Source organism: Homo sapiens, chromosome 14 (assembly GCF_000001405.40).
Source record: "Homo sapiens chromosome 14, GRCh38.p14 Primary Assembly".
Lineage (NCBI taxonomy): Eukaryota > Metazoa > Chordata > Mammalia > Primates > Hominidae > Homo > Homo sapiens.
The window spans coordinates 52,561,291-52,585,640 of NC_000014.9; the positions used below are offsets into that span (position 1 = coordinate 52,561,291).

A 24,350-nucleotide genomic window follows, 5' to 3' on the forward strand; every position below is an offset into this window, starting at 1 on the left:
AACATAAGCCTGTCATAAAATCTAGCTGTTACAGAAGCCAGGCGTGGTGGCACAGGCCTATGGTCCCAGCTACTCAGGAAACTGAGGCAGGAGGATCACTTGAGCCCAGCAGCTCAAGACCAGCCTGGGCAGCATAGCAAGACCCTGTCTCAAAACAAAACTTATGGAGAAAAATCTAGCCATTATAGATATTTACCCAAGAGAAATGAAAGCATATGTTCCTATAAAAACTTGAACATGGATGTACATAATAGCTTTATTCACAAAAACTCCACTGAAATTAACCCAGATGTTCATCAGAAATGAATGAATGAACAAAATATACCAATACAAAGGAATACCACTCAGTAGTAAAAGCAAAGGAACAAACTACTGACACAACAACGTGGATTAATCTCAAAATCAGTATGCTGAATGAAGGAAGCCAGGGAAAGATGAGCTCACACTGTATCATTTCATTTATATTAAATTTTAGAAAGTGCAAACCTATGGTCACAAAAAGCAGATCACTAGTTTCCTAGGGTCTGGAGCAGAAGGGAGGACTTACAAAAAGAGGGCAGGGTGAAATTTAGTGGGTGGGGAGATACTCTGTATTTGATTGTGATAGTTTCAAAGGTTGTACAGCTTTCTCAAAACTCAGAATTGTACACCTTAAATGCATGCAGTGTATTGTATATAAATTATATTTCAATGAAGTTGATTTTAAAAATTTCAGGGCTTTGCAATTTACTCCAAGAATAAAAGCTGAAGCAGGGAAGAAATGTACAACCTGCAGCTCCATCATCTAATTTATGTTAGAAAGCTAATCATCTAATTTATGTTAGAAAAAGAACAGGATAAATCCAAAGGAGATGAATCTTAAGAGTAATAAAATAGAAAAAACAAAGCAGGGAAGAAATGTACAACATGCAGCTCCATCATTTATCAGCTCTATGTAACTTGGTTAAGTTAGTTGGGTAAATTACTTACCTTTTCTGTGCCTATTTTCCTTCTTATAAAAATTAGAATAATAATACCTGCCTCATAGAATTACTGTGAAAATTATATACTTCATATAAAATGTTTGGGACATGGTAGTACTATTGATTGTTGGCTATTATTAAATTTTAAATAACTGGGATTTCATAGTCTACATTCTCACACTCCTAAAACAAGCCAGAATTCAGTAACAAAAATAACTTGTAAAGCTGAGCATGGTGGCACGTGTCTGTAGTCTCAGCTACTCAGGAGGCTGAGGCAGGAGGATCACTTGAGCCCAGGAGATTGAGTCCAGGCCTAGGCAATGTATCGAGACCCTGTCTCTTAAAAAACAGCAAACAAAAAACAACTATTAAAGGTTCATTTAGAAATGTTTAAAACAGTTATGAACAACATGGGTAAAGGAAGAAATTCCAATGGCATTTAAGAATACTATATGATAATAAAAATACTATATATCAGAACTTGAATTATGCAGCTAGGTTAGCATGTAGAACTAAATTTACAACCTGGAATATTTACATTAGAAGAAAACATTTAATAAGCTAATCATCTAATTTATGTTAGAAAAATAACAGGATAAATCCAAAGGAGATGAATCTTAAGAGTAGTAAAATAGAAAAAACAAAGAGGTTTGATAAAGCCAAAAGCTACCTAATACCTTTCTTCATAATCAAACTTCTTTCAGAGGTGACCATGAATATATCAACATTTTCTCACTTCTCCAGCTTCTCTAATCTGCCTTCCCCCCATCAGTCTACAAAATAGTTGTTGCCTATGGCTCACAGTGACCTTCATGTCAATAAGTTCATTAGACATTTTTCAGTCCTCATTCAAATTAACTTCTCAGCAGCAATTGACCCCCCATATCTTTCCCCTTATCACTGGCTAGCACATTGAATAGCATTCTCCTAATTTTTTTGTTACCTTGATAGCTTCTTTGTAAGCTCATGTGCCTGTCTTGCCATCAGAGAGGTTGAGATTTCTAAACACTTAAACCTAGATCCCCTCTTCTTTCCAAGTGATCACATCCACTTTCGTGACATCATGCCACTTAAAAACAGATGACTCACACTTATCTCCGATCCTTACTCACCCATACTACTCTGAGCTGGCTCTGTAGATTCTGCACTGATTTGACATCTTCATGGTATCTGATGCACTCAGATTCAACATGATCTTTCTTCCTCCTCTCCCACCCTACACCTATATGCATCAAAACCTGGTTCTTGAACCAGGCACAGTTCTGCCTGTAATCCCAGCAACTTGGGAGGCTGAGGTGGCAGCATCACTTGAGCCCAGGAGTTCGAGGCTGCAGTAAGCAATGTTTGCGCCACTGTACTCCAGCCTGGATTACAGAGCAAGATCCCAACTCAAAAACACACACACACACAACTTGGTTCTCCTCTTTTGTTCCCCATTTCCGTGACTAGTATTTATATCCAATTATCTATATAATTCAGAAACGTGAGTCCTTCTCAATATTCTTTCTCCCTCATTACGCACATTCACTGCATCACCAAATCCTGTTACCTCCTAACATCTCTTAAGTCCATTCACTTCTTCCCTTCAAAATGCCTGGTCCAGGCTACTAGCATGTATTGACTAGTCCATGGCAGTTAGCCTTCTAATTGGTGTGTCTGTATACCCTGGCCCCCACAGGCCCATTCTCCACAGTGTTGCCAGAGTTTTTTGGAACAAAAATCTATTATAAAAGCCCCACCCAACCAGGCACGGTGGCTCACACCCGTAATCCCAGCACTTTGGGAGGCCAAGGCAGGCAGATCACGAGGTCAGCAGTTTGAGACCAGCCTGGCCAATATGGTGAAACCCCATCTCTACTAAAAAATACAAAAATTAGCTGGGTGTGGTGGCACACACCTCTAGTCTCAGCTACTCGGGAGGCTGAGGCAGGAGAATTGCTTGAACCTGGGAGGCAGAGGTTGCAGTGAGCCGAGATCGCATCACTGCACTCCACCCTGGGCAACAGAGTGAGACTTCGTCTCAAAAAAAAAAAAAAAAAAGCCCCACTCCTAGATTTCTCCATTGGATCTAGTTACTCATTAGAATAGAGAGAGTTCTATGTATACTACAAGTCACTTCATGGTTCCAGCCTAATTTCAAACTATGCTCCTCATTCCTCACCATTCCAGCCACATTAAACATTATTTTAGTCCTCTACTTGCCATATTCCTTCTGCCACAGAGCCATTCCATATTCTTTTCCTGCTACTTAGAATGTTCTTTCCTCCTCCTTTGCTTAGTTAACTCTCAACTCCAGGGCACAGTGCTTCTTCAAGGAAGCCTTCACTCAACTACTCAAGTTAGATTCCAAAATTATAGACTAGTAGAGGAGCATTATGCTGCTCTTCTTCATATCATTTGCACAGTTGGAATTTTATATTTGTGTGACTTTTTTGTGTGAGCTTACTAGATTGGTAAGCACTATAGGAATAAGGACCAAGTCTGTTCTTGCTGTATTAGGTATTGGTACCTAATTTAACATCTGATGTGTATTAGGTGTTCAGTAAATATTGAATGAAGTTCTTGTTCACCATATCCCAAATAGCATAGTGAGGAGGAATCCCTGAATATATAATTTCACAGCAGAATTTGGTCTACCCTTTTCTTCCTTCTCTTTTCCCACTTATCTACCTCCTCCCTTCAAAAAAAAAATGCTTGCTTTAAAACAAAAGTCCCAAAATCAGATGCCTAGAGGGACCTGAATGCTACAACCTCGGAGAGAGAATAGGGGAGTGTTGGTGTTTGTGGTGAATCGGAAAGCACGTGTTTAAAGAGGACAATCACATTAATTCAGTTCCAGCTATGAGATTACATTGTCAAATCATCTGATTTTTCAAGAGAAATCACAAATTTGAATTTCTTAAAATGAGAAATCTACTTTTTAAATAATGACGGGATTTTCAAGTATGTTAAAAATACTGTAGGCTAATACCGAATAAGCTAAGCAAAACTTTTGTGGATCAAACCGAAACCATGGGCTATTTTCTTCTCCTCCTCTTCCTCCTCCTTCTCATAGGAATAAAACAACTAAATATAATCCTGTCTTTATAATTTCCATATACCAAGCTTTAATTATATTTAATACCCATCAAAGTTAGTTAAAATGAACTCTGAGTAATTTATACCTTATGGAAAAATTACGGTGTTCTAAGTCTGACCAAATGTGTAGAAAGTACCATATTATCTTTGGATATGCCATCTATGTCTGCTTTGCCCCACTATACTACATATTGCTTTAGATCAGCCACTATTTTACATTTATTTCAAAAGAAATTTTGCATACCCTTCAACACCTAGCACTGTTATATATGTGGTCAGTGCTTAATGACTTGGAGTAAATTAGTGGTAAAGTAAGGGAATTTAAAAGTAGCATTTTCTTCTTTCCACCTCCACAAACAAAATCAGAATCTAACTTCATGGAACATTTCATCTAATTTGTTTTAAATAAAGACAAACTTCTAAAAATTAAGTGTCCTTGTAATCTTATTATTTTAACTTTGGTAAAGGGGTATGTTTAAGATAGTACATCATGAATGGCCCTGAACAAGGAATCTGGGAACCAGAATTCTAGTCCAAATTCTGCTTTATATGAATAATTGATATTTGCAAATCATTATTTTTCTGGGCCAGTTGTATAATTTGTAAAGTGGTTAGTCTCAGTGATATCTAAGATACCTTGAATTCTAGTATGCTGATACTAATAAAGCAATGCAGAATTTGAGAATTTTTGCTTAAACTCCTTAGTACCTAGTTCTGTGATCTAATACAGTATCTCAATTCTGTCTCTGAGATATAGATGCCAGTTAAACAGAGTTATACATAACACGTTAAAACTGATCAAAATTTATTTAGGACCCAGGGATCATCATCCTTCTAGAATAATATTTCAAATTTGTACCTTCTCTTCTCTTACAAAAACTCAATTACAGCTACCATTTTCATTAGCATATTAATCACACTCTACAATTTGTTTTTCCAGCCTCAGTCTTCTCAGAGTATAAAAAAGCTTAAATATTTTCTTAAAAATTTGTACTCTCCTCAGCTACTATGTAGGATCCAGTCATTTGAGCTGGTTTGAGGTGGTGTAGTGTATACTCTAAGGAGAATATAAACTTTTATCCCTTTATAGCCCTATTTTAGGTTGTTTCATTGGTCAGGAGCCCCTTGTATTTTTTCTCTCTCCAAGAGCTTTTGTGGAAGAGAAAGTTCAATGTGAGGGCTGAGGCTGTTAAGTGCCCAATTGGCATTTTTTTAAAAAATCTATTCTGAAAAGAATGGGACATTAAACAGCAGGACTGACAGCAGTAACTTAAGTCAGAATAGAGCATATATACTTGGCAGTAGCAGGAAATCCTTTTGCCCAAAGTAGAAAAAGTGATATGATTACCTGCTAGGAGCATTATACATACGTTTTTAGACATGAATTAACAGGCTAGAATCAGTCATGGTTAAAGGCACCTACATTTTTAAATGGATGGTAGATTTTCCAGGTTTTGTAAACTGGATGTTATAGGGATACCATTAGAACACTGGATACAGGCCAGGTGCAGTGGCTCACGCCTGTAATCCCAGCACATTGGGAGGCTGAGGCGGGTGGATCATCTGAGGTCAGGAGTTTGAGACCAGCCTGGCCAACATGGTAAAACCCTGACTCTACTAAAAATACAAAAAATTAGCTGAGCATGGTGGTGTGTACCTGTAATCTCAACTACTTGGGAGGCTGCGGCAGGAGACTCACTTGAACCCGGGAGGTGGAGGTTGCAGTGAGCCAAGATCACACCACTGCACTCCAGCCTGGGTGACAAAGTGAGACACCGTCTGAAAAAAAAGAAAAGAACTCTGGATATGGAGGTATTAGGTAGTTAAGAACTTGGGCACTGGAGTCCCATTCCTTGGACCCTTGCTAAGTGACCTTAAGTGCGTAACTTCTCTGTATCATAGTTTCTCCATCTGTACCTACCTCATGGGGTTGTGAAGTTAAATAGAATAATACTTTAAATAGCAGAACATAATAAGACTCAAATGGTAGCTATTATTATTTTAGAAAAAAAGAAAAGAGCATCTCTAAAATTAAGATTTTCCTCTGCCACCTTTCTTACATATAAACTTTAGACAATATGATAAACACTTTTTCTAATTTATGGTAATATTTGAGATACCTTTATTTCTTTACTGTATGATTAAGATAGGTTTGTAGGTATTCTCACCTTTTAGGTCATGGATTTGTCCTAAACCACATTAGAAATTAGAAGGATTGGAAGGCAGGTCTTCTGACTACACTGCTTTTTCTGTCGTACTCTAGAATAAGCAGTTGTAAGCTATTGTCAGCGTTCATCACTGCTTACATTCAGATTGTTCTTTTTTTTTTTGGTTTTTTTTTTTTTTTGAGACAGAGAATCGCCCTGTTACCCAGTCTCTTGTGCAGTGGCGTGATCTCTGCTCACTGCAACCTCTGCTTCCCAGGTTCAAGTGATTTATCTGCCCCAGCCTCCCGAGTAGCTGGGATTACAGGTGCGTGCCTCCACGCCTGGCTAATTTTTGCATTTTTAGTAGAGACAGGGTTTCACCATGTTGGTCAGGCTGGTCTCGAACTTCTGACCTCGTGATCTGCCCGCCTGGGTCTCCCAAAGTGCTGGGATTACAGGCGTGAGCCACCGCGCCTGGCTGAGATTGTTCTTAAGAAATCCAGATTAACTACCTGGTGGCTGGCAAGATGGCCAAATAGGAACAGCTCCAGTCTGCAGCTCCCAGGGAGATCCCAGGGAGATCAGCGCAGAAGGTGGGTGATTTCTGCATTTCCAACTGAGGTACCTGGCTCATCTCATTGGGACTGGTTAGACAGTGGGTGCAGCCCATGGAGGGTGAGCAGAAGCAGGGTGGGGCGTCACCTCACCCGGGAAGCCCAAGGGGTCAGGGAACTCCCTCCCCTAGTCAAGGAAAGCCATGAGGGACTCTGCCTTGAAAAATGGTGCATTCCAGCTCAGATACTATGCTTTTTCCACGGTCTTCCCAACCTGCAAACCAGGAGATTCCCTTGGGTGCCAACACCACCAGGGCCCTGGGTTTCAAGCACAAAACTGGTTGGCTGTTTGGGTGGACACTGAGCTAACTGCAGGAGTTTTTTTTTCATACCCCGGTGGCACCTGGAACACCAGCGAAACAACCGTTCACTCCCCTGGAAAGGGGGCTGAAGCCAGGGAGCCAAGTGGTGTAGCTCAGTGGATCCCACTCCCATGGAGCCCAGCAAGCTAAGATCCACTAACTTGAAATTCTTGCTACCAGCACAGCGAGACCTGAGACACTGGAGCTTGGTGGGGGGAGGGGGCATCCGCAATTACTGTGTAGAGTAGGCGATTTTCCCCTCAGGGTGTAAACAAAGCCACCTGGAAGTTAGAACTGGGCGGAGCCAACCGCAGCTCAGCAAAGCCAATGTAGCCAGACTGCCTCTGTAGATTTCTCCTCTCTGAGCAGGGCATCTCTGAAAGAAAGGCAGCAGCCCCAGTCAGGGGCTTATAGAGAAAACTCCCATATCCCTGGGACAGGGCACCTGGGGGAAGGGGCGGCTGTGGGCACAGCTTCAGCAGACTTAAACATTACTGCCTGCCGGCTCTTAAGAGAGCAGCGGATCTCCCAGCACAGCGCTTGAGCTCTGCTAAGGGACAGACTGCCTCCTCAATTGGGTCCCTGACCACTTTGCCTCCTGACTGGGAGATACCTCCCAGCAAGGGGCGACAGACACCTTATGCAACAGGAGAGCTCCGGCTGGCATCTGATGGGTGCCCGTCTGGGACGAAGCTTCCAGAGGAAGGTACAGACAGCAATCTTTGCTGTTTGGCAGCCTCCGCTGGTGATACCCAGGCAAACAGGGTCTGGAGAGGACCTCCAGCAGACCTGCACCGGAGGGGCCTGACTGTTAGAAGGAAAACTAACAAACAGAAAGGAATGGCATCAACATCAACAAAAAAGGACATCCATGCAAAAACCCCATCTGAAGAGCACTGGCGTCAAAGACCAAAGGTAGGTAAATCCATGAAGATGAGGAAAAACCAGTGCAGAAAGGCTGAAAATTCCAAAAAAAAAAAATGCATCTACTCCTCCAAAGGATCACAACTCCTCACCAGCAAGGGAACAAAACTGGATGGAGAATGAGTTTGACAAATTGACAGAAGTAGGCTTCAGAAGGTGGATAATAACGAACTCCTCCAAGCTAAAGGAGCATGTTCTAACCCAATGCAAGGAAGCTAAGAACCTTGAAAAAAGGTTAGAGGAATTGCTAGCCAGAATAACCAGTTTAGAGAAGAACATAAATGACCTGATGGAGCTGAAAAACAGCATGAGAACTTCGTGAAGCATACACAAGTATCAATAGTCAAATCTATCAAGCAGAAGAAAGGATATCAGAGATTGAAGATCAACTTAATGAAATAAAGCGTGAAGACAAGATTAGAGAAAAAAGAATGAAAAGGAATGAACAAAGCCTCCAAGAAATATGGGACTATGTGAAAAAGACCAAACTTATGTTTGATTGGTGTGCCTGAAAGTGAAGGGGAGAATGAAAACACTCTTCAGGATATTATCCTGAAGTGGGAAAACACTCTTTAGGATATTATCCTGAAGTGGGAAAACACTCTTCAGGATATTATCCACGAGAACGTCCCTAACCTAGCAAGACAGCCAACATTCAAATTCAGGAAATGCAGAGAACACCACAAAGATACTCCACAAGAAGAGCAATGCAAGACACATAATCATCAGTTTCACCAAGGTTGAAATGAAGGAAAAAATGTTAAGGGCAGCTAGAGAGAAAGGTCGGGTTACCCACAAAGGGAAGCCCATCAGACTAACAGCATATCTCTCTGCAGAAACCCTATAAGCCAGAAGAGAGTGGGGGCCAATATTCCAACATTCTTGAAGAAAAGAATTTTCAACCCAGAATTTCATATCCAGCCAAACTAAGCTTTGTAAGTGAAGGAGAAATAAAATCCTTTACAGACAACCAAATGCTGAGAGAGTTTGTCACCACCAGGCCTGCCTTACAAGAGCTTCTGAAGGAAGCACTAAATATGGAAAGGAACAACCGGTAGCAGCCACTGCAAAAACATACCAGATTGTAAAGACCATCGACCCTATGAAGAAACTGCATCGACTAACGGGCAAAATAACCAGCTAGCATCATAATGACAGGATCACATTCACACATAGCAATATTAACCTTAAATGTAAACGGGCTAAATTACCCAATTAAAAGACACAGACTGGCAATTTGGATAAAGAGTCAAGACCCATTGATGTCCTATATTCAGGAGACCCGTCTCACCTGCAAAGACACATATAGGCTAAAAATAAAGGGATGGAGGAATATTTACCAAGCAAATGGAAAGCAAAAAAAAGCAGGGGTTGCAATCCTAGTCTCTGATAAAGCAGACTTTAAACCAACAAAGATCAAAAAGGACAAGGGCATTACATAACGCTAAAGGGATCAATTAAACAAGAAGAGCTAACCTAAATATATATGCACCCAATACAGGAACACCCAGATTCATAAAGCAAGTTCTTAGAGACCTACAAAGAGACTTAGACTCCCACACAATAATAGTGGGAGACTTTAACACCCCACTGTCCATATTAGACAGATTAACGAAACAGAAAATTAACAAGGATATTCAGGACTTGAACTCAGTTCTGAACCAAGCAGACCTAATAGACAGCTACAGAATTCTCCACCCCAAATCAACGAAATATACATTCTTCTCAGCACCGCATCACACTTATTCTAAAATTGACCACGTAATTGGAAGTAAAACATTCCTCAGCAAATGCAAAAGAACGGAAATCATAAACAGTCACTCAGACCGCAGTGCAATCAAATTAGAACTCAGGATTAAGAAACTCACTCAAAACTGCACAACTACATGAAAACTGAACAACCTGCTCCTGAATGACAACTGGGTAAATAACAAAATGAAGGCAGAAGTGAATAAGTTCTTTGAAACCAATGAGAATAAACACACATCATACCAGAATCTCTGGGACATAGCTAAAGCAGTGTTTAGAGGGAAATTTATAGCACTAAATGCCCACAGGAGAAAGCAGGAAAGATCTAAAATTGACACCCTAATGTCACAACTAAAAAGAACTAGAGAGAGGCCGAGGCGGGTGGATCATGAAGTCAGGAGTTTGAGACCAGCCTGGCCAACATAGTGAAACCCCGTCTCTACTAAAAATATAAACAATTAGCTGGGTGCAGTGGCAGGCATCTGTAATCCTGGCTACTTGGGAGGCTGAGGCAGGAGAATCACTTGAACCCGGGAGGTGGAGGTTGCAGTGAGCCAAGATTGCGCCATTGCACTCCAGGGGGCCGTGTGAGACTCCATCTCAAAAATATTAATAACAAAAGATCCAGAGAAGCAAGAGCAAACAAATTCAAAAGCTAGCAGAAGACAAGAAATAACTAAGATCAGAGCAGAACTGAAGGAGATAGAGATACGAAAAAACCTTCAAAAAATCAATGATTCCAGGAGCTGGTTTTCTGAAAAGATTAACAAAATAGACCACTAGCCAGACTAATAAAGAAGAAAAGAAAGAGGAATCAAATAGACACAGTAAGAAATAATAAAGGGGATATCATCACCGATCCCATAGAAATACTGACTGCCATCAGAGAATACTGCAAACACCTGTACACAAATAAACTAGAATATCCAGAAGAAATGGATAAATTCCTGGACACATACACCCTCCCAAGACTAAACCAGGAAGAAGTCAAATCCCCGAGTAGACCAATAACAACTTCTGAAATTGAGGCAATAATTAATAGTCTACCAACCAAGAAAAGCCCAGGACCAGACGGATTCACAGCCAAACTTTACCAGAGGTACAAAGAGGAGCTGGTACCATTCCTTCTGAAACTATTCCAATCAATAGAAAAAGAGGGATTCCTCCCTAACTCATTTTATGAGGCCAGCATCATCCTGATACCAAAACCTGGCAGAGACACAACAAAAAAGGAAAATTTCAGACCAATATCCCTGATGAACATCAATGTGAAAATCCTCAATAAAATACTGGCAAACCAAATCCAGCAGCACATCAAAAAGCTTATCCACCACAATCAACTGGGCTTCATCCCTGGAATGCAAGGCTGGTTCAACATATGCAAATCAATAAACATAATTCATCACATAAACAGAACCAATGACCAAAACCACATAATTATCTCAATAGATGCAGAAAAGGTCTTTGATAAAATTCAACACCCCTTCAAGCTAAAGATTCTCAATAAACTAGGTATTGTTGGAATACTTCTCAAAACAGTAAGAGCTATTTATGACAAACCCACAGCCAATATCATACTGATTGGGCAAAAGCTGGAAGCACTTCCTTTGAAACTGGCACAAGACAAGGATGTCCTTTCTCTCCCCTCCTATTCAACATAGTATTGGAAGTTCTGGCCAGGACAATCAGCCAAGATAGAAAAATAAAGGACATTCAAATAGGAAGAGAGGAAGCCAAATTGTATATGTTTGCAGATGACATGATTGTATACTTAGAAAACCCCATTGTCTCAGCCCAAAATCTCCTTAAGCTGACAAGCAACTTCAGCAAAGTCTCAGGATACAAAATCAATGTGCAAAAATCACAAGCATTCCTATACACCAATAATAGAGAACTCCCATGTATAATTGCTACAAAGAGAATAAAATACCTAGGAATACAACCTACAAGGGATGTGAAGGACCTCTTCAAGGAGAACTACAAACCACTGCTCAAGGAAATAAGAGAGGATGCAAACAAATGGAAAAACATTGCATGCTCATGGATAGAAGAATCAATGTCGTGAAAATGGCCATACTGCCCAAAGCAATATCTAGATTAAGTGCTATCCCCATCAAGCTACCATTGACTTTCTTCACAGAATTAGAACAAACTATTTTAAATTTCATATGGAACCAAAAAAGAGCCCATATAGCCAAGACAATCCTAAGCAAAAAGAACACAGCTGGAGGCATCATGCTACCTGACTTCAAACTATACTACAAGGCTACAGTAACCAAAACAGCATGGTACTTATACCAAAACAGATATATAGACCAATGGAACAGAACAGAGACATCAGAAATAACGACACATGTCTACAACCATCTGATCTTTGACAAACCTGATGAAAGCAAGCAATGGGGAAAGGATTCCCTATTTAATAAATGGTGTTGGGAAAACTGGCTAGCCATATGCAGAACACTGAAACTGGACCCCTTCCTTACACCTTATACAAAAATTAACTCACGATGGATTGAAGACTTAAACGTAAGACCTAAAACCATAAAAACCCAAGAAGAAAACCTAGGCAATACCATTCAGGACATAGGGATGGGCAAAGACTTTATGACCAAAACACCAAAAGCAATGGCAACAAAAGCCAAAGTTGACAAATGGGATCTAATTAAACTAAAGAACTTCTGCACAGCAAAAGGAACTATCATCAGAGTGAACAGGCAACCTACAGAATCGGAGGAAATTGTTGCAATCTATCCATCTGACAAAGGGCTAATATCCAGAATTTACAAGGAACTTATACAAATTTATAAGAAAAAAGCAACCCCATCAAAACATGGGCAAAGGATATGAACAGACACTTCTCAAAAGAAGACATTTATGTGGCCACAAACATATGAAAAAAAGCTCATCATCACTGGTCATTAGAGAAATGCAAATCAAAACCACAATGAGATACCATCTCATGCCAGTTAGAATGGCAATCATTAAAAAGTCAGGAAACAACAGATGCTGGAGAGCATGTGGAGAAATAGGAACACTTTTACACTGTTGGTGGGAGTGTAAATTAGTTCAACCATTGTGGAAGACAGTGTGGCGATTCCTCAAGGATCTAGACCAGTAATACCATTTGACCTAGCAATCCCATTACTAGATATATACCCAAAGGATTATTAGTCATTCTACTATAAAGACACATGCACACATATGTTTATTGTGGCACTGTTCACATTAGCAAAGACTTGGAACCAACCCAAATGCCCATCAATGATAGACTGGATAAAGAAAATGTGGCACATATACACCATGAAATACTATGCAGCCATAAAAAAGGATGAGTTCATGTCCTTTGCAGGGACATGGATGAAGCTGGAAACCATCATTCTCAGCAGACTAACACAGGAATGAAAACCAAACACTGCACATTCTCATAGGTGGGAGTTGAACAATGAGAACACATGGATACAGGGCGGGGAACATCACACACCGGGGCCTGTCGGTAGGTGGGGAGCTAGCAGAGGGGTAGCATTAGGAGAGATACCTAATGTAGATGACAGGTTGATGGGTGCAGCAAACCACCATGGCACATGTATACTTATGTAACAAACTTGCACGTTCTGCACGTGTATCCCAGAACTGAAAGTATAATTTACAAAAAAATCCAGATTAAAGCAAGCGACATTTCTTCTTTCTTCCGTGGGATATTCTGTTGCTCCTTCTGATACATTCTGCTCCTTTTTCCCCCACCATTATTAGATCTATTTCCTTTGGTGAATCTGGTGCTGCCTCTGTCTTTACAAAAAGCAATTCTGCTGTCTTCCTAGCTCAAAAAGCATGAATGGTTTTATGAAAAATCAGTAATATACAATGGGGGAAGTAGTGTTGGAAAACTTTTTAAAGGACAGCATAGTTTCAGCACAAATGCAGTTTAAATCAGTTTTCTAGGGAGTCTAAATCTATATTGTATGAGACTCTTGGTTCAGGAATAAATTCAATATATTCCTTAAACTTAAAAAACTAAATTATCTTCAATGAAATGTTTATAGTAAACTAATGAACAGTTCATAGTAATTAGTTATATTTTACAGAGATTTTTAGTAACAAAAGCTCACAAATTTTTCTTCTCACCCATAAATTTAATACTTCACTCCTGAAAATTTTAGTTATTTATACTTTTTAAAAATACTTCTACATGGTAGCATGCACCTGTAGTCCCAGCTACTCAGGGGGCTGAGGTTGGAGGATCGCTTGAGCCCAGGAGGCCGAGGCTTCAGTGAGCTATGATCATGCCACTACATTCCAGCTTGGATGACAGAACAAGACCTTGTTTCAATAAAAATGAAAATAAAATATAAAAAATACTTTTAGTTAAGTCGGGCATGTAAAGTTACCTAACAATCTGAAAAACAACACAAAGTGGAGATGTTAAACTGCTCAGTTATTACATTTTACTGAACAGATCCTTTGATTTCTTAATACATTTTCTTGGGCATGTTAATTCTGCAGATCTTGAACAACTAATAACTAGTTGCTGTGACATATAGGTGGAACATTAATAAAGCAGTATTTGTCACCTTAGAAGATTTATGAATTGGGAGAATTAAGCTATACCATCTAAAGATCCAAATGTACAAATATATCAAAGAAAACCAGGATCCCTATGAGCCTTGAATTAGGAGTCAGGACATCTGGGTTGATCCTATTCAATTTCCCGTGTGTGTTCCAGGACAGTCTACTTTAATCTCTAAAGCTCAACTTTGTTATCCATAAAACTAAGTTACTGAACTAAATTTCTAAGGTTTCTCTTAGTCCAGGAGACTTCAGGGACAACCTCCCAGTTATCTTCTCCTAGTGGAGTCTTACAGATAGAGCTTAGTCTCTCACTAAGAAGTTCACATGAGCTGTGTTGTTCGGGGTTTTTACTGGGGGTTGGTCATATAGGCATGGAGCATCCACATGGCTGACTTTACTCAGTCCCCAGCCTCTCCAGAAGTCAAACTGATACTATGTGGCCCAAGGCTGCACCGTAACTCACATTGTTAGCATAAACTATTTGGAATGGCCCAAGGCCCCAGATAAAGAAAGACACTCTTATCAGGCAGACTATTCTACATGTGTACCCTTTGTTTAACTCCCACTTATAAGTGAGAACATCAGTATTTGACTTTCTGTTTCTGAGTTATTTTACTTAGGATAATGGCCTCAAATTCCATCAATGTTGTTGCAATTGATAGAATTTCATACTCGTTATAGCTGAGTAGCATTCCATGGTCCATATATACCACATTTTAATCTAATCATCCATTGATAGACACTTAGGTTGATTCTGTATCTTTGCTATTATGAATAGTGCTGTGATAAATATAGAGTGAAGGTGTCTTTTTGATATAAGAATTTCTTTCCCTTTGGGTATATACCCAGTAGTGGAATTGCTGAATGGAATTATAGTTCCATTTTTAGTTATTTGAGAAATCTTATTGTTTTTCCATTAAGTTGTACTGAAAGAGATAGAGAGCAACGTAATAATACTGGAGGACTTCACTCCACTTACATCACTATATACATCATCGAGGCAGAAAGTCAACAAAGAAACTCTGGACTTAAATTGGACTTCAGACCAAATTAACCTAATAGACGTTTACAGAACATTCTACCCTACAACCACAGAATACACATTCTTCCTACCTGCACATGGAACATTCTCAAAAATTGACCATATGCTGGGCCACAAGGCGAGTCTCAATAAGTTTTTAAAAATGGAAATCATACTAAGCATCTTCTCAGACCACAGTGAAATAAAAATATAAACCAGTACCAACAGGAACTCTCAATACTATGTAAATAGGCTGGGCTCAGTGGCTCACACCTGTAATCCCAGCACTTTGGGAGGCCGAGGCAGGTGGATCACTTGAGGTCAGGAGTTCGAGACCAGCCTGGCCAGTATGGGGAAACCCCATCTCTGCTAAAAATACAAAAACTAGCCAGGCGTGGTGCTGTAGTCCCAGCTACTCTACTCAGGAGGCTGAAGCAGAAGAATCACTTGAACCCGGGGGGCGGAGGTTGCAATAAGCCAAATTCGTGCCACTGCACTCCAGCCTGGGCGACAGAGTAAGACTCCTCAAAAAAAAAAAAAAAAAAAAAAAAAAAAAAGATACCTGGAAATTAAACATCTGCTCCTGAGTGATCTATGGGTAAACAGTGAAATCAAGGCAGAATCAAAATATTTGTTGAAACGAGTGAAAATAGATACCAAAACCTCTGGGATACAGCAAAAGCAGGCTGAAAGGGAAGTTTATAGTGTTAAATGTCTACATAAAAAAGTCATTTCAGATTAACACTAATGTTACACCTCAAGGAACTGGAAAAACAAGAACAAACAAAACCCAAAGCTAGCAGAAAAGAGATCAGAACTGAATGAAATTGAGACCAAACATGCACGCGTGCGCGCGCGCGCACACACACACACACACACACACACGATCAATGAAATGAAAAGTTGATTCTTGGCAAAGACAAACAAAATTGGTAGGCAAACAAAAGAAGAGAGAGGATTCAAATAAGAACAATCAGAAACTATAAAGATCTGATTTTATCTTTAAAATCAGGTAAATTTAAACTTAGGGGTGCAGTGGCTCAAGCATGTAATCCCAGCACTTTGGGAGGCTGAGGCAGGCGGATCGCTTGAACCCAGGAGTTTGAGACCAGCCTGGGCAACATAGCAAAACACCATCTCTACAAAAAAAAAAAAAAAAAATTAGCTGGGCGTGGTGGCATGCACCTGTAAGTCCCAGCTACTGAGGCTGAGGTGGGAGGATCGCTTGAGCCTGGGAGGCAGAGGTTGCAGTGAACTGAGATCGTGCCACTGCGTTCCAGCCTGGGTAACAGAATGAGACCCTGTCTCAAAAAAAAGCAATAAAGGTAATATTACAACTGATACCACAGAAATACAAAGTTTATCAGAGACCACTATGAACATCTCTATACAATTCTGATTTTTTATTATGTATATGTGACTTGTTTTTTCCTTTCTGAAAATAATAGGTTATTCTTTGATTCCAGTGTTCTGAAATTTCATAGTGATGTATCTTCAAATGGGTCTGTTTTCTATCCATTTTGCCGGATATTCAACAAGCCCCTTCAACTTACTAACATGTATTTTTTAGTTTAGGGAGACATTCTCGTATTTTTAACTTGATTTTCTCCGCTTCTTTATTTGTTTCTCTTTCTGGAGCTCTTAATGTTTGGATGTTAGACCTTTTAAATGAATCTTTTTCTTTTCTTTCCTATTTTGCATCTGTCTTCTTTCTCTGCTTTTTGGGGGAGTTTCCCAATTTCCAGCCTGTCTTTTGACTTTTTAAAATTTCTACTAGCATTTGTAATTCCCTTCCATAAGCTCCTTTTTATTCTCTGAATTTTTTATTAACATCATGTTTTTGTTCATGAGCTCCATATCTACTCTCTCTAAGTTTATTAAGGATAGTTTTCCTGTTTTAGTTTTTAAATCTGTATTTTTTTTGCATTGATCTCTTTTATTAAAGACTTTTGAGCTATCTGGTTATCCTTGGCTCTCTGCTAATAATTAAGAGTGGAGGCCAGGCATGGTGGCTCACACCTGTAATCCCAGCACTTTGGGAGGCTGAGGTGGGCGGATCACCTGAGCACCTGAGATCAGGAGTTCGAGACCAGCCTGGCCAGCGTGGCAAAACCGTGTCTCTACTAAAAATAGAAAAATTAGCCAGGCGTGGTGGCACGTGCCTTTAGTCCCAGCTACTCAGGAGGCTGAGGCTGGAGAATCTCTTGAACCTAGGAGGCCGAGTTTGCAGTGAGCTGAGATCGTGCCACTGCACTCCTGCCTGGTCAACAAGAGCGAGACTCCGTCTCAAAAAAAAAAAAAAAGAATGGAAACTCTGAGCTTATGGGTGAGATATGTACGCTCTGAGCTTTGCTGTAGGGTGATCTGGCTGAACTATTTGTTACAGAACCCCCGTTGCTAGTATGTTTAGATCTTTCTTCTTGGGCTGCTAAGATTCCTCAGAGAAAAAAAAATATTCTAATCTTTCAAAGAGTAAAGGTCTATTCCAGCATTTTGAGAACCTAGTCAGGGAAGAGGGTTGGGGTGGGGGAGAATCTTTATGCTTGGTGTATACCAGTCATCTCCATTCTCAGTGTGGTGCTAAACTATCAACTGTGCCTGGCATTTAACTTTCATGCTTTAGACCAAAGGCTTTTTGGTGGCCTCTCCAGAGAATAAATACCCAGATATCTGCCAGGATGAAGAAGAGGCATTTGCCCAGGGTATGGACTAGGGAAAGAGAGATTTAACTGCTCTTAAACAGCTTTTATCTACCCGTTTTAGCCACCCCCACTTCTCAGTTCTCTCTGATTGGTACCTGATTCTCCTGGTACCTTTTGAAGATTCTGAAATCACGTTGTTCTCAACCCTTCTCACTACTAGCTTGGGATTCATCTTTCTTGGGTAATCATACATTGTGTTGGGTGTCCCTAAGGCCACCTTCAGCCTTGATGATTTGCTAGGACTCACAATTGTTAAACTCATGGTTACAGTTTATTACAGTGAAAGGACGTAGAGTCAAATCAGAGGGAAAAGATACATAAAGCCTGGAATAAACCAGACACACACTTCCAAGAGTCCTCTCCCAGTGGAGTTACACAGGATGTGCTTAATTCATTCAGCAATGAGGTGTAACAACACATGTGAGATGGTGTCTACCACAGAAGATCATTAGAAACTCAGTGCCCAAGATTTTTTTTATTGCGAGCTGGCCGTGTAGGTACCCTCTACCTAACAAATACCAAATGTCAAGATTCCAAGAAAGAAAACAGGTATTCAGTATAAACTATATTATTTGCACAAATGCTTTAGGTAAAGTGAAGCACAGCTCATCATTTAAGGAATGGTGGGAATCCTCCTGAAAGCCAGATTTCCAAATGCCAGCCACAGGCCAACTTTATAAGCAGTCTTTCTAAGGATAGCAGTCTTGAGCCTGCCATGTTAACCTTTTTCTGCACGTACACCCATCTGCTTTCTAGCTTCCAACATTCATTATTGCAGTCTTTCCTATTCTACTCAGATTTATGGGTTTATGCCTTTCATGAAAATTCCTTTACTGTTGTTTTAGTAGAATTTCAAGTTGGAACAAAATTAGATATGGATATTCGATATTTATTTGAATCATCAAAATTCATTTGATTGTAAATTAAACCATCCCAATTTGTATAATATCATTTTTAAGCAGCTTAGAAGAAATCAGACTAAGCAGAGAGAAGAGACTAAAAGAAAAAAAAATTTTTTTTTTGAGACAGAGTCTCACCCTGTAGCCCAAGCTGGAGTTCGGTGGCACGATCTCGGCTCACTGCAATCTTCGCCTCTGGGCCCAAGCAGTTCTCCTGCCTCAGCCTCCCAAGTAGCTGGGACTGGAGGTGTGCACCACCACACCCAGTTAATTTTTTTGTATTTTTAGTAGAGATAGGGTTTCACCATGTTGCCCTGGGTGGTCTCGAACTTCTGAGCTCAGGCGATCCACCCACCTCGGCCTCCCAAAGTGCTGGGATTACAGGCGTGAGCCAACACTCCTGGCCAATGAATAATTTTTTTAAGCATTAGGGTATTAAGACCCTAAGAGAGATGCAAGAAGATATTGAATCCTAGAAACAAGAATAGGCTGCTGTAAATATATATATTTTTTAGTATATATATCTACTAAATATATTTATATTTATATATTATTTATATTTATATAATAATATTTATATGTATATATTAAATATATAAATATATATTTCTTAGTAGATAAAATATATACATATATATTTTTAGTAGATAAAAGTTATTGGCCAGGCCTGGTGGCTCACACCTGTAATCCCAGCACTTTGGGAGGCTGAGACAGGTGGATCACCTGAAGTCAGGAGTTTGAGACCAGCCTGGCCAACATGGCAAAACCCCACTGAAAAGTACAAAAGAATTAGCCGGGCATGGTGGCAGATGCCTGTAATCTCAGCTACTCAGGAGGCTGAGGCAGGAGAATTGCTTGAACCCGGGCGGCAGAGGTTGCAGTGAGCCGAGATTGCGCCACTGCACTCCAGCCTCGGTGACAGAGTGAGACTTCTTCTCAAAAAAAAAAAAAAAAAAGTTGTTAACCATATGATAGACATAGAAGGTGAACATCTGGCCGGGTGCAGTGGCTCATGCTTGTAATCCCAGCACACTGGGAGGCCGAGGCAGGCAGATCACCTGAGGTCAGGAGTTCAACACAGGCCAGCCAACATGGTGAGATGCCTTCTCTACTAAAAAAAAAAAAAAAAATAGCTGGGCATGGTGATGCACGCCTGTAATTCTAGCTACTCAGGAGGCTGAGGCAGGAGAATTGTTTGAACCCAGTAGGCAGAGGTTGCAGTGAGCTGAGATCGCACCACTGCACTCCAGCCTGGGCAACAGAGAGACTCCGTCTCAAAAAAAAAAAAAGAAAGAAAGTGAACATTGAGGAAGAGTGCATTTATTCAATTTATGGCTAAAGTAGCTAAATGCTTCATATTTTATTTGCAGGCAATAACAATGGTAAGCTTGGGAATGGTGCGCTACTCTCTATAGGAACTTAAGCAATTGATATGGAAATTGGATAACTGCTTCTGTGAAAATCATCTACTTAATTGGATATGTATGCCTAACTCTTCACCATGGAAAAGAGATTATGTTTACCACAATTCATTTTTGCATCAATTTCAAATTTTATATTAGATATGCTCTCCAGTAAAGTTTCTATTTTAGATCAACAAAAGAGGGAAAATTAAATTGACAAAAATGAATTCCATAGAAAAGCATTTGTTCTATAAGTATTTCAGTACCTACTATCTTCAAAGCAACATGGTCTACATGTCATGGGTGAAAATAAACGATACACAGCTCCAGTGTAACCCTCTTGTCTTAGTCTGCTTAGTCTTCAGGCTGTTGTAATAAAATATCATAAACTGGGTAGTTTATAAGAAAACAAATTTATTTCTCACCATTCTGGAGGCTGGAAAGTTTCAGACCAAGGTGCCAGTAGATCCAGTGTCTGATAAGGATCCACTTTCTGGTTCATAGACAGTGCCTTCCCACTATGTCCTCACATGTTGTAAGAGGTGAGGAATCTATGGGATCTCTCTTATAAGGATACTAATCTCATTAATGAGGGCTGCATCCTCATGACCTAGCAGGTCCCAAAGGCCCCACCTCCTAATACTAATCACATTGGGGGTTAGTATTTCAACATGAATTTGCAGGGGACATAAACATTTCATATCATTGCACATTCCTCAAGTCTTGGGATACTTGTATTAATATTACATTAGGTGACAGTCACAAACAATATATTTGCAATACTCTCATCTTTCCTTTATTTGAAGCACTAAAGGAGACATATAAGTCTGCATTTTAAAATGGAAATATCTGGCCGGGCATGGTGGCTTATGCCTGTAATCCCAGCACTTTGGGAGGCCAAGGCGGGCAGATCACCTGAATTAAGGAGTTCGAGACCAGCCTGGCCAACATGGGGAAACCCAGTCTCTAATAAAAATACAAAAATTAGCCGGGTGTGTTGGTGTGCACCTGTCATCCCAGCTACTTGGGAGGCTGAGGCAGGAGAATGGCTTGAACCTGGGAAGTGGATGTTGCAGTGAGCTGAGATCATGGCAGTGCACTCCAGCCTGGGCAACAGAGTGAGACTCTGTCTCCAAAAATAAATAAATAATTAAAAATAATAAAATGAGAAAATCATTTCAAATCACTTGTATATGAGTTGAATATTACAAAATAAAATTGAGTATGCTAGTAATAACATTATTTTAAATCTTCAATAATTCAAATATCCTAAAATAATATTTTCTAAATAAGGATCTGCTAGTCTGTATATGGGATAAAAGTAGATTATGTGATATAAAATATTTGACAGCCATTAACCCTTAAAATTCTTTATACTTTCATAGAAAGAATAATATTCTTTTATAAATGGCCCATTTATCCAGTTTTTTCTGGTATTAAGAAAGAGCTGGAAAGATACAGCCCATCTGACTTAAATTGACATCAGTAAGTCATTTAGATACATTATTTACCATTCTGAACTTAAAAAAAATCTACATAAAGCATGTGTTTATTGTTTCATGAATTATTTCAGTATCTTAACAAATGATATATAATTGCTTGATATTTTTTCATATTACTAATTTTTAACTCATGATCATGTCCTGTTAGCTATATTCTATAATATACTTGGAATCTATTAATAGCAGATAATTGTGTTTAAGCCTACTATAATCCAAATGTGATTTAAGCACCTGGTTATGCTTCTATAATGCATTGGAACATGTTCTGCAAATCTGGGATGGTAGCTGACCTTTATTTTTTTTCTCATCCAGCTCAACTCCCTGTCACACCCATTATCCCAAGACCTGTAATTTTATGGATTATCCCTCTCACCCTGTACCGATTCTTGTCTTCACATGATCCTTTTAAATGCCTTCACTGAAATCTAGCTCTTCTCAGATGACATCTCATGTCTTTTGTGGGAAAAATGATCAGCCTATTTTATACTTCCCAATACTACTTACTAATATTATACCATCATCATCTCTGAAATCTGTGCCATCTGATTAGATCATCATTGGCTGTAATAATAACTTCCACCTTCCTGGATGAATCAGCACTTTCTTCCTTCTTCCCTGGTTTCCTGTGATATATGATCTTTCTCAAAACCCTTATTGATAACCCATCTAATGTCTCAATTCAGTGGTTTCTTAGAGCTCTAAAACCCTTCATTTCTATTTGAGCCACCCAGTAGCATGACCACACCTTGGATCAGCTCTTAAAAACTGAGCTATTCTTTCTGACCAATGTCTTCTCTTTTCCCTTATATATATTCAGTTTATTCTTTTATCTGTTTTTTACCCTCATCCTGACTTTTAGTCACTTTATCTCTTCTGTTCTCCCCACTCCATTCTAGTATTCCTCATCCCTTGACTTTTTGCCGTGCCAAACCTGTTCATTCACCAGAGTGAGTTCTTCCTCTACAATAGTGCCCACATTTTCCAATTCTAAATTACTACATGAAAAAATGCATCCTGGTTATTTGAACTTTTTATAATGTGTCAACCTAAAATAACAGAGATTGTCCAAAGACAATAAGTTTATTCAGGAATGAGAATGATTATAATCCAGGTTATATGTGCTAAGCTGGATCATGGGCATATTTGGGGAGGTTGAGGCAAGGGGAAACTTTTAAAGGCAAAATTCTAAAGGTTGCATAGTTGTTTTGAAATGGTTACCCCTCGTCACAAGGATTAATAACAAGGGCGGTGTCATTCCAAGGCTGAACAGGCAGTTGCTGGATAGATGTCCTCACAGAAGTATTCTTCGTGTAAGGTTACGGTGACTTTTGTGCATGTTTGTGGTCTTCAGAGAATCCTTGTAATCATTTTTATTATAGAAATGTGTATAAGACTCCTCCTTTTTGGCCTCCTGACTCCCTTTTGTTAAGATTTGGCATAAGTGACTCCACTTTGATTCTGACAACTTTCACAGGATCTCGCCCTGTTGCCCAGGCTGGAGTGCAGTAGCGCAATCATAACTCACTGCAGCCTCAAACTCCTGGGCTGAAGCCATCCTCTGCCTCAGCCTCCCAAGTAGCTAGGACGATAGGTGTGGTTATAGTCCTGATTGATTGATTGCAGAGACAGAGCCTTGCTATGCTGACCAGATTGGTCTCAAACTACTGGCCCCAAGCAATCCTCTTACCTCAGCCTCCCAAAGTGCTGGGATTTCAGGCATGAGCCACTGGATCTGGCCCATTTTTTTTTCTGTTAAATTGTTTCCATTTTAAAATCAGAAAACCTTGCTAATTATATCCACTATCAACTGCTCAACTTTAACTGGACCTTGCTGTTTCTCAATATATTCTTTTATAACCTTTCTATTCATGTGTTCCAAATGTTTTTCATATTCCAGTGCTTAAATCTAACATCTTTCACAAGAAGTGACCTTGCCACCTACTTTCCTAGAAAAAAATAGAATCCATCTGCCAAATTCTCTTATCCTTCTCGATATCAAAATATCAGAATCCATACTATATCCACATTTTTTATTATAACAAAGAGCTGGTTTGTAAATTATTTTAAATTTTCTGTGCAGACCTCCAAGTTTTTCTTTAATTTTCTTTTCTTCTCTCTTGACTCAAAAGTGTCTTCCTTTTCAGGACTAACATGCCTCTTCTGTCTAGAGCCTTCCTAACAATTAAACTAACTCTCTCTTGCTCTCGCTCTCACTTGCTCTCTCTCTCGCTCTGTCTCTCACTGTCTCTCCACTCTCCATCTTCTACTTCGCCCTCTATTTAGTCAATTTCTGACCAACAGATTGCTGAATCTTCAACCACGAAGAGTCTTTTACCCTACTTTAAATTTAACAGATTAGCCTGCTGTTGTTTTATGTACACAAGACCAAGGCCAGGTATGGTGGCTCACGCCTGTAATCCCAGCACTTTGGGAGGCCAAGGCGGGTGGATCACTTGAGGTCAGGAGTTTGAGACCAAC

The 24,350-nt window shown here is 39.7% G+C and overlaps 1 protein-coding gene across 7 annotated transcripts in view, besides 2 other annotated features; it reads left to right on the forward strand.

Annotated features, from left to right (window-relative positions):
• The window catches only part of GPR137C (G protein-coupled receptor 137C), an 84,878-nt gene that overhangs the window by 8,455 nt on the left and 52,073 nt on the right, over positions 1–24,350 (forward strand). The window lies entirely within an intron of this gene.
• Positions 6,437–7,152: an enhancer, noted in NCBI's record as "H3K27ac-H3K4me1 hESC enhancer chr14:53034445-53035160 (GRCh37/hg19 assembly coordinates)". NCBI's record gives its function as "activates a minimal SCP1, AML or CMV promoter by ChIP-STARR-seq in primed H9 embryonic stem cells {active_cell/tissue: H9 hESC(primed)}" and the evidence as "EXISTENCE:reporter gene assay evidence [ECO:0000049][PMID:30033119]".
• Positions 7,153–7,868: an enhancer, noted in NCBI's record as "H3K27ac-H3K4me1 hESC enhancer chr14:53035161-53035876 (GRCh37/hg19 assembly coordinates)". NCBI's record gives its function as "activates a minimal SCP1, AML or CMV promoter by ChIP-STARR-seq in primed H9 embryonic stem cells {active_cell/tissue: H9 hESC(primed)}" and the evidence as "EXISTENCE:reporter gene assay evidence [ECO:0000049][PMID:30033119]".